This window comes from Homo sapiens, chromosome 6 (assembly GCF_000001405.40).
Source record: "Homo sapiens chromosome 6, GRCh38.p14 Primary Assembly".
Classification (NCBI taxonomy): domain Eukaryota; kingdom Metazoa; phylum Chordata; class Mammalia; order Primates; family Hominidae; genus Homo; species Homo sapiens.
This window is the reverse complement of record NC_000006.12, coordinates 68,050,824-68,061,996: the sequence shown is the minus strand read 5'-3', so window position 1 is coordinate 68,061,996 and position 11,173 is coordinate 68,050,824. Positions and strand designations below refer to the sequence as shown.

Here is an 11,173-nt window from a genome sequence, read left to right as displayed (position 1 = left end):
AATTGCTTATTTTTTTTCTGTCTTATTTTGAAAGGCAGAGGATAAAGTGGAAAAAAGGGAATGGAAAGTGAAAAGTGCTATGTCTATGTTTTTTGACTTCAAGATTCAAGAAGATGAAGTCTGCAATATAGATTCAGTCATTAGGTCTCTGGTTTTAAAGATTTAGTCCAAGGACAAAGTCATCTGTAAGCCTGCCTAGGCATTATTTACTGATCTTCTCAAATCTGTCATCATAGTTATGCTCAGAGGTGGCATCCAAGAAGCACATAAACAATTCCACATCTTATTTCATCTTCAAGAAATATTGTGTAAGTTTGCATTCAAACCAAATAGTGAGGTTGATGATGCTCTTTGGAAAATTACTCCTGGTAATACAAATATGCAACAAATTTAGATTTTCCATGAACCTGAGCATTTTGAGGTTTTGCTTCAATTGAAGATGTGAACGAACAAATAACAAAAGGAAAACAACTTCCACCCTTGTCTTAATTTAAAAAATAAATTTACCAGTCACTTGGAACTTCCATGACTGCTAGCTAATAAAAAGTACGAACCTGACAACCATTTTCTCTTAAAAATATCTTTTTTTAAAAAAAAAAAGTCTTCCATAAAGTCCCTAATCACATTGCCTTGTAAGGCAAAGCTCCTAACTCATTCTTAGAATAAGGAGGGAATAAATAATTAATACGTATATAAGTCCTCACATTCATATATAAAATTGTAAAAATACTGAAGGGTTGATTCATTTTGAAATAAAGCTAACTCCTTCCTTTGCATGGCAAATGTTTCTCTCTAGAGCCATGCCAGTTTCCCATTGCATTAATTAATGAGGGAGAAAGCCTCAGATGAAACTTTTATGTAGCAAGGTAACAGGTATTCATCATTATATGCAGCTTGACTTGAGGGTGACAGATGGAGAGCTTATGATCTTTTGAACCATTAACTTGAAAACTTTAAACTAGCCTGTGGTCGCAGCAGCCAAGAATTTAAAGTTACTATTTTTTTCATTCTCTCTCTCTCTTTTTTTTTTTTTTTTGCACATCAGAATCAGTGTCTTGTGAAAAATTTATTTAAAAATATATCTTTACTTCATTTTCTAGCTGTATCATATAATGGTACCTGATTTCTCACTTACAATTTTATTTTGGGGGGAAAATATAACTTTCTCTGATACATTTATTTGGCTTCTATTATTTCGATTTTAGCTTTTCAATGATTGCAGAAAAAAATGGTATGAAAATTTTTTTTATTTGTAATTTTTGTGGGTACTTAGTAGGTGTATATATTCATGGTGTACATGAGATAGTTAAAAATAGTATTTCTTTAATCGGTACCACAAATTCCCATGTCACATGTTTACTTATGTAACAAACATGCACATCCTGCACGTGTACCCCTGAACTTAAAATACAAGTTATAAATAAAAATAAAAATGATATTTCTTAAATCAAATTAATTTGGATGTGTATATAATGAAATATCAAGAAAGCGTAATAGTTAATAACTCTTATTTTTATTGTTTTTCATGAAGCTAATGGTTACATTTTGTTGGTTAAGGCTTTGTATTTAAAGGAAATATTTTAAAAATTATAGTATAAAATAAAACATTTGCTCATGAATCCTTTACTTCTATGTCAGGAGATATAAAATTGTATTCATTTAGCTCATTTTCTCTGTTGATCCCAAAGAAAAGACTCTGTGAGGTTGCCACTATAGTCAAACATTTTGAATTTCCTGCATTTTCTCTGCTATTATGTTGACTTAATCTGTGATTTAAATGATTATGCTTCGCAACACTTTCTGCTTTTCCTCGCTCCAAGTTTGTCTCCAGCTGCTCCTTGTTGAGGGTTTTGTTCTCTTTTCAACAGGAAAGAACGTCCACCCACACCAGCTTGAAGTGCCTTATTAATGTCAACCAAAAATGTAAAACAGAAAGTTTCAGTATCGGTTCCAGATGTAAAATTCTCAATATCAAACATCTTTCTTTTCTTTTTTGTAAAGGCAAAGAAAAGTGAAAGTAGATTATGGATGTTAATTAACATGCATTAGATAACTTCTACCAGTCTCACACTTTTAGATGAATTATTTATTTTAGTTCTCACAACAGGCTTTCACATGTTTTCCAATAATTTACACGTGATCTACATTTGGAAAAGTAATAGTCTTAAGTTTTTTTTTTTTTACATTGTGAAATAACACACAATTACTGATTCCTGATTTGGATGCAAGCTTAGCTTGTCTTTCTTCAGAATACGTGCTCTTTCAATTACCTCATCTTGATCAATGTAATAAATGTATGTTTTTTTGGTTTTGATTACCCAGCAATTTGAACTTATGTTACCAGACTACTACATTGTTCCCTGCTTTCCAGAGTGAGTGGTGGAAAGTCCAAATACTTGTTCTCTTTACTCTGTGACAGCTAGATTATGGCCCATAACTTAGATTTGGCCCATCAGCTATACCTGCCTTTGAATCTGTAGGGAGTGTCACAAGGAAGCAAAGGCAGTTTAGAATTTACTTTTCAGGGTAGCAGCACTACCGCACTGTCCATGGTGACCCACCAGAATAGCAGTGGCAGTTATGATCTAGCCTTCTGGCCTTTGTTTCTGTATTCAGTGTTTGGTCCTCTAAGATGGTCCTGTAGTAATTTCTCCATTAATTTTGAGGGATACACAAAACAGGCACTCCAAATTCCTGTTCTGCTTGTTAACCACAGTTAATTTCCCAAGAAATGGGATTAATGTGGAAGATAATAAATCAGTTTTCTAGTGGTTAATATCAATACTAGAGAAAATCGGTATAATAAATATAAGTGACATTATTACTTAGGTTCCTAATATTTATAAAATTTAATATAGTGTTCCAGTGAGTTGGGGAAAAAAATAAAGTGCTGTAACTTAGCTATTCATGTAAGTGATCCTTTTCCTGAATATATTTACGCCTAGAAATTCATATGTTATATGTCTATAATATAATACTAGTGTACATGTATTCATGGTAATTCTTACAGCTTTCTTCTATGAGCTAGCCCTAGTCCTCATTTTGTAATTTTAAAATAAACTTCTAATTTATTTTCCGTTTTTAAAGGTTTCTCACTTGCATTCATTCAGGAATAGAAAGAAACATCTTTCTCTTAAATAATGGGATTGATTCTTTTTCTGAAGTACTAGCATACAAAAACCAGTCTTAATTTTCTGTATCCTGGTTGCTTATCAGATTTTAAGAATTTTAACACGATTAATTTAAATATAATTCAACAAATCCAACCTTCTCATTTAATAGGCATGCAGATCACCAGAAAAAAATGTATGTATATATGGTTATATATAGCCACTGCTGAGCATGAGTTCAAGTCTCTTTTTATTTGTTAAGTACTTACTATGTGTTAAGAATTGTTCTCATGCTAAGAATTGCTACTGTATAAGTCCATATAAATGCTTTAATTATTAACGTATTTAATCCTTTTAACAACAAAGTGGGACATTATGCCCATTGGTAGATAAGAAAATTGAGACACATAAAAGTTACATAATTTGTCTAAGGTCATAGAGCTAGTTAGTGTCAGAACAAGCACACAAATACAGGTAGCCTGGCCCCTCACATGTTGCTCTCTCAGCCGTTGGACTCTACTGCCTCCCAGGTCTTTGGGTGCTTTCCGAAACAGCAGCCCAAATTATTTGGCTGCATATTTACTAGACTTATCATTTTACTCCCCAAAGATATGTCTTATTTTTGTTTTATTTTATCTTCCAAAATATTATCTCTAAGACTGATAAGTAAGATGGCTTATTTTTTTCTTTTTTTATTATTATTATACTTTAAGTTCTGGGATACATGTGCAGAACATGCAGGTTTGTTACATAGGTATACATGTGCCATGGTGGTTTGCTGCACTTGTTAACCAGTCATCTACATTAGGTATTTCTCCTACTGCTATCCCTGTCCTAGCCCCCCACCCCCGATAGGCCCCAGTGTGTGATGTTCCCTTCCCTGTGTCCATGTGTTCTCATTGTTCAACAGCCATTTATGAGTGAGAACATGGAGTGTTTGGTTTTCTGTTCCTGTGTTAGTTTGCTGAAAATGACAGCTTCCAGCTTTATCCATGTCCCTGCAAAAGACATGAACTCATTATTTCTTATGGCTGCATAGTATTCCATGATGTATATGTGCCACATTTTCTTTATCCAGTCTATCATTGATGGGCATTTGGATTGGTTCCAAGTCTTTGCTATTGTGAATAGTGCCGTAATAAACATACATGTACAACTTATAAGGGATGTGAAGAATCTCTACAAGAGAACTACAAACCACTGCTCAAGAAAATAAGAGAAGACACAAACAAATGGAAAAACATCCCATGCTCATGGATAGGAGGAATCAATATCGTGAAAATGGCCATACTGCCCAAAGTAATTTATAGATTCAATGCTATCCCCATCAAGCTACCATTGATTTTCATCAAATAATTAGAAAAAACTACTTTAAATTTTATATGGAACCAAAAAAGAGCCTGTATAGCCAAAACAATCCTAGGCAAAAAGAACAAAGCTGGAGGCATCATGCTACCTGACTTCAAACTATACTACAAGGCTACAGTACCAAAACAGCATGGTACTGGTACCAAAACAGATATATAGACCAATGGAACAGAACAGAGGCCTCAGAAATAACACCACACATCTACAACTATCTGATCTTTGACAAACCTGACAAAAATAAGCAATGGGGAAAGTATTCCCTATTTTATAAATGGTGTAGGGAAAACTGGCTAGCCCCATGCAGAAAACTGAGACTGGACCCCTTCCTTACACCTTATACAAAAATTAACTCTAGAGGGATTAAAGACTAAAACATAAGACCTAAAATCATAAAAACCTTAGAAGAAAACTTAGGCAGTACCATTCAGGCCATAGGCATGGGCAAAGTCTTCATGATTAAAATACCAAAAACAATGGCAACAAAAGCCAAAATTCACACATGGGATCTCATTAAACTAAAGAGCTTTTGCATAGCAAAAGAAACTATCATCAGAGTGAACAGGCAACCTACAGAATGGGAGAAATTTTTTGCAATCTATCCATCTGACAAAGGGCTAATATCCTGAATCTACAAAGAACTTAAACAAATTAACAAGGAAAAAAACAAACAACCCTATCAAAAAATGGGTGAAGGATATGAACAGACACTTCTCAAAAGAAGACATTTATGCAGCCAACAAACATATGAAAAAAAGTTCGTCACTGGTCATTAGGGAAATGCAAATCAAAACCACAATGAAATACCATCTCACACCAGTTAGAATGGCCATCATTAAAAAGTCAGGAAACAATAGATGCTGGTAAGGATGTGGAGAAATATGAAAGCTTTTACACTGTTAGAGGGAGTGTAAACTAGTTCAACCATTTTGGAAGTCAGTGTGGCGATTCTTCAAGGACCTAGAACCAGAAATACCATTTGACCCAGCAATCCCATTACTGGGTATATACCTGAAGGATTATAAATCATTCTACTATAAAGACACAAGATGACTTATTTTTACTAAATTATAATTTATGCATCTGAAGGGGCATCAGCTTTTCAAAGTAGCCACTTAAACCACGGATATTGCCTGTGCTTAAGATATATTGTAATTGCCAGGCAATCTGAAAAGACTTTTCAGGCAGCAAGTCTTTATTTTGGATGCTGGATTTGACTTTTGCAAACAAGAAAAAAAATTTCAAAAGTATTTATTGTGTTGAGGTGAACATCAAAATAAATGATAGCATTGTAGGCAAATAATATTTAATGTAATAAGATGTTTCATTTGTGTGTGTTTGTGTGTGTTTGTGTGTGTGTGTGTGTGTGTAATGTTATTGAGAAGATATTTCAAAGGGGGAGCTCTTTAGATATTTTGAGTCATCACAAGATCCTTAACATTGGTGGATATTGTCCCAGGTTTACAACACTGAAAAGGACAAAGGATACCATTAGCTATGATATGTCCAGTGACACTATAAGTGAACTAAACAAAGATATTCTTTTGACCTTTAACCACATTTCAAATTTTTCTTCTATATTCCTGATATTATAGATGTGGAATATGTGATACAGAAAAACTAAGTTCATTTTTGGTAAGAGCATTCCTGAAGACACAAACAAGAAAAAAAGTTTGTTTTTTTTTTTTTTTCTCTTTGTTTTTACTCTTCTACCTTAGAAGAGGCAATAAGGTGGTTGAATGTTAAATTATACTATTTTTACTATCATTCCTATATTAAAAAAAAAAGGTTGAATTTGTGTTTGGAAACTCATTTTTAAAGCTTTTGGAGAACATGTTTACCTTTGCATTGGTAATTTTTAAATATAAGCAAAATTTTAAAATCTGTTATAAGTATTTTTTTCAGAATAAAAGAAATAAATTTTAAAAATTACTGAAGTAAAAAAATTACAAAATCTCTATGCAAATAGTGCAATTTGTTGAAACAATTCTAAATGCTAGTAACTATTTATGAAACAGTTCAACACTGGAACAAGAATGTGATTTCCATGTCTTCTCAACTCCTTTTAATAAGTCCTTTTATTTACCTTCAGTATGTAGTTAGGTTAAGCGCCAGTGGTCAAACTGGAAAATCTTGTAATTTACGGCAAAAGAAAGATTATTTGAAATATCCAGGTTCACTTGAAACTAGAGAAAATTAAATTATTTTTATGACCGAAAAATCATTACTGAAATGAAAACTCTATGTCTAACAAAAGCCAAACATATTGAAATAACTTCCCTTAAATTATACAAACAATACTTAACAAAGCTCTACTGAGAATTCATTTTCTTTTAAAATTCTTATTTCATTTCCTATTTCTGTTCCTCAGAAAATCTGGCAAATCTCATCCAGTGCAGTCATCCTGTACATGCTTACTTATGGCCATATATTTCACTGGCTGTTTCTGAAGGAAGAATGTAAAAGAGATAACTTATTTACTGCTGCATGAATTCATATTTCCCAAGTCACATAACAGTTTGCTAACTTGGTTGGAATTTATAGACTGGTATGTTGTGGGTAACATTAGTTCTACCCTAAGAATGTCTTTTTTGTAGTACCCTACAGACTATGCTTAATAAACCATGGTTTAGTGTTTTGAATAATTTCAACAAAGGAATAATTTTAGAGTGATGAACTTCACGGACAGGATAGTGTGTTGCTACTTTATAGCTGTATTCACACACTGATTTTGCATCTACTAGATTCCAGATGTTTTCTTTTGGAACATGTTCAAATTGAGAAGACTGATGAGAAGCCCCAATCTCTGTAATTACCAGAAATGTAACTATATGCCAAAGGCATTGCTGAGAGTATTTTTCATTTATTGACACTGTTTTTTTAATGTAAGTAATTTCAGCAGCTATTTCATAACATATCTTTCAAGATCTGCCCCTTTACATATTTCTTCCTCAATTATTTAATCATTATTCAAATGAAGCCTTTTGATTATATAACTTAGAGTGATGAATTTCACTTTTAAATTTTGATGATGAAAGGCAAGAGAAAGTGATAAATAAAACAAATGAATACACCTGCTCCCTTCACATAATGACAGGGTCTAAAATCTCCAAAAGCTCTTAGAACAAAGACAATTCACATGCTTGAAATTATTCTCTACAAAATTCTATGTTGTTGTCTTTGAACTCTCATTTCTGTTACATTTTATCACATACATACTTATCTTTATCCATATAATATCAGCAACTTGAGTTTTCCATTTTAACCCAAAATATACTATAAGACATTTATCAGCAGATAATAGCCTAAGCTGCCATGACAGGGCAAGAACTTGTGCATTTTTTTGGCGGGGAAGATTTCATTGCCCTCCTGCTACACACTGTTACATCTCATTCAAGTCCACATTATCCTTCTGTTATTTACTTCTCAACGTTAATATTTTCAGATAGGTTCCTGTCAGCTAGTTGACAAAGATTCATTTATCATTCAAACAATTCAGTGCATGCTTGGCTTTACTCATATTCCCAGATTAAAAGAAATGTCAGCGAATGTACAGTTATGAGATGACATAATCAGATAAGCTAACAGAGATAGACGTTATATGTATGACAAACAAATTATTCTCTCAGCCATTGTATGTATTTCTAAAGAGAAAGTTGTTGAACTAAATGAATGGATTCCCAGTGATGTAATACAGTGAGAGAAAGAGAAATGGGTCTTCATTCTTTCTAATATTCTCAATCTGTTTCCACAAACATTTCTCCTGAGCTGAAAAACTCGACCCAGCTTTCAGCTTTCCAAATAACTTCCTGATTCAAACAAAACAAAAATATCTCAAAAGAGAAACTTTTCAGTGCATGTTCTGTGAACATGAAAACCATCTTAGCATAATTTATAGTAACCATAACTGGAAGATATTTGAATATATTTAATACTTTATGCAACATTTTGGAAGGGGGCATGAAATATATCATTAATTTTTGAAATGAATTTCATAATAAAGTATTTAAATATGTGTGTTAAAATATTGAGTGCTACAAAAATAAAGCTAAATTGATATGGCACTTTCTAGGAGCTCAGACTTTCATAGTAGAAACTCTGATACTGAATGACAAAGAAACATTCAACTTAATAGTTAATTTTACCTCATCTCTTTATACCTCATCTATTTATCAGAGACACTACTAGACCTTAGACTAGCTCAGTAATATTATTATTAATATTGAGTAATAGCTCAATAATATCACAGTAATATTATTTTTATAAGATAAAAAATATTTCAATTTCAAATTAGCTTTAGAAATGTTGTGTAGCCATGCCCTTCTTTAATAGTCACAATGGACATTAATATTTGCAAGAATCTAATAGGCAGTAGTTAAGAAAAGTCTTAACTTTGCTGAAGTAGACATTTTAAAAATGTAATAGACTACAGAAACCAGAAAATCACTTAATGCTTACTAATATTTTGCTGAGCTCTGAGAATACACTTTGTGAATGTTGGGTCTTGTTGTTTCCATTTCTGGCATCCATGGATGGATTTCAAAGGGACTATCAGCTCCTCAAATTGTATACAGTCAGTTGGGTTTATTTAAATGCTTTCACATGGAGAGAGATTATTATTCTTTATTAGATGTCTGTGACTAAAAATATTGAAAACCCATTGACTTGAAAAGATTCTTAAGGAATTAAAAAAACAACCTTAAAAAGTGTCACATACATAATAATATTTCAATACCTCTTAACTATTATTCTTAGTGTTACTAAGCAAACATTTACATCATTATTCTGAATTATTTTATAGCACAATCTATATATCTGAAGATGAGTATATTAATCTATAGATATCTCTAGTTAAATTCGACATGATCCAAGATTTTCTATAAAGTAAGTTTGTGTTTAGCAAATATTATTTTCCCCCTAAAACCATTATTTTTTCTTAACAAATAAAATAAGGTACTTGATTCTTACCTAGTTATATAATAATGCACACAATTTTCCAAAATAATTACAAAAGAAAAGTAACAATTTTGCATACCAATGTACAATAGTGCTATACTCATAAAAAAAACATAAAGTAAAAAAAAATGCTGACAGTTAAAAATATGTTACCAGCCAAAGAATTTAGCCCAGGAATAGAAACACATAGATCTGGTCAACTGATATTTTACAAATGAGTAAAAGACATTTAATAGAGAAAGGATAGTGATTTCAACAAATAGTGCTGAACTACACATATATAGGCAAAAAATAAATTTAAATACAGATTTTGCACTTTTCACTAAAATTAATTCTCAATGGATGGTAGAACTAAGTGTAAAACACAAATAGCAACCTCCAATGCAGAATTTTGCTGAATTTTTTAAAAAGTAGGTGTGATATGAATTTCTCTTTTGTCTCAGGTGACAGCAATATCCTTTGAGAATCTGAATGAGTAGTGAACATCCAATTTCCTTGTTTTTCCTTAGTTCTTGTAAAAGAGTAGTTTTCTTTTTGGCCCCTTTACAGTTTCTCTAACTTTGTACTTCTTCAGTCCAATTTCTGAAGTTTGAGTGCATAAAAATGATTGCAAAAAAATTAAATCTAAAATCTGGAAGATAACATAGAAAAATCTAGGAGAACTTGAGTTTGGCAACGTTTTCTAAGAATAAAAAAACAAGAGCACCATTTTAAAACAAAATCAAGTTGGGCGTTATTAAAATTAAAAACTTCAATTTTGATAAGGACACTGTTAAGAGAGAAAAGCCAAGACAAATCACAAACGGGGGAAAAAAAATGAAAAATGCAAAGCTAACCTAAAAGTCTTTGTATATCTAAAATGTAAAAATAATTTCTGAAACTAAATAAGAAACCAACAATTCAATTGAGAAACCGACCAAAGATCCGAACAGACATCTCACCAAAGGAGATATCTATCTATCTATCTATCTATCTATCTATCTATCTATCTATCTATCTCTATAGATATAGATATATCTATATATCTATATCTATCTAGATATATCTATATCTATATATCTATCTAGATATATCTATATCTATATATCTATCTAGATATATCTATATCTATATATCTATCTAGATATATCTATATCTATATATCTATCTAGATATATCTATATCTATATATCTATCTAGATATATCTATATCTATATATCTATCTAGATATATCTATATCTATATATCTATCTAGATATATCTATATCTATATATCTATCTAGATATATCTATATCTATATATATCTATATCTAGATAGATATATAGATATAGATATGAATAGAAAAATAAATAGAATAAATAATAAATAGAGTATGTCTTCTTCCTATATGCATGTATGTCAAAGAATACATATGCATATAAATAGAGCTCTATTTCATATGTCATTAGGGAATTGCAAATTAAAACAGTGAACGGATGCCATCACACACCTACTAGCATGGTTAAAATGCAAAATCTAGACATTGCTAAATGCTGGCGAGGATGTTGACTAACAGAAACTACAATTCATTGCTTGTGGAAATGCAAAATGGAACAGACACTTTAGAAAGTAGTTTGGCAGTCTCTTACAAGGTTAAAAATAGTCTTACTATAAAGTCTAGCAATTGTGTTCCTGGTATTTATTCAAAGGTACTGATAACTTACGTCCACATAAACACCTGCTCACAAATGTTCATGTCAGCTTTATTAACAATTGTCAAA

At 31.7% G+C, this 11,173-nt stretch overlaps 1 long non-coding RNA gene across 1 annotated transcript, besides 1 other annotated feature; it reads right to left on the bottom strand.

The window, feature by feature from the left end:
- Positions 1-1,494: 1,494 nt before the first annotated feature.
- Positions 1,495-6,646, bottom strand: LOC102723883 (uncharacterized). Its single transcript, NR_125869.1, has 2 exons — positions 6,562-6,646; positions 1,495-1,901 (listed from the first exon to the last, which is right to left on the bottom strand). It is a non-coding gene; the product is annotated as an uncharacterized LOC102723883 (long non-coding RNA).
- Positions 10,973-11,173: a silencer, noted in NCBI's record as "peak5879 fragment used in MPRA reporter construct". NCBI's record gives its function as "represses an SCP1 promoter by STARR-seq MPRAs in K562 erythroleukemia cells {active_cell/tissue: K562}" and the evidence as "EXISTENCE:reporter gene assay evidence [ECO:0000049][PMID:32103011]".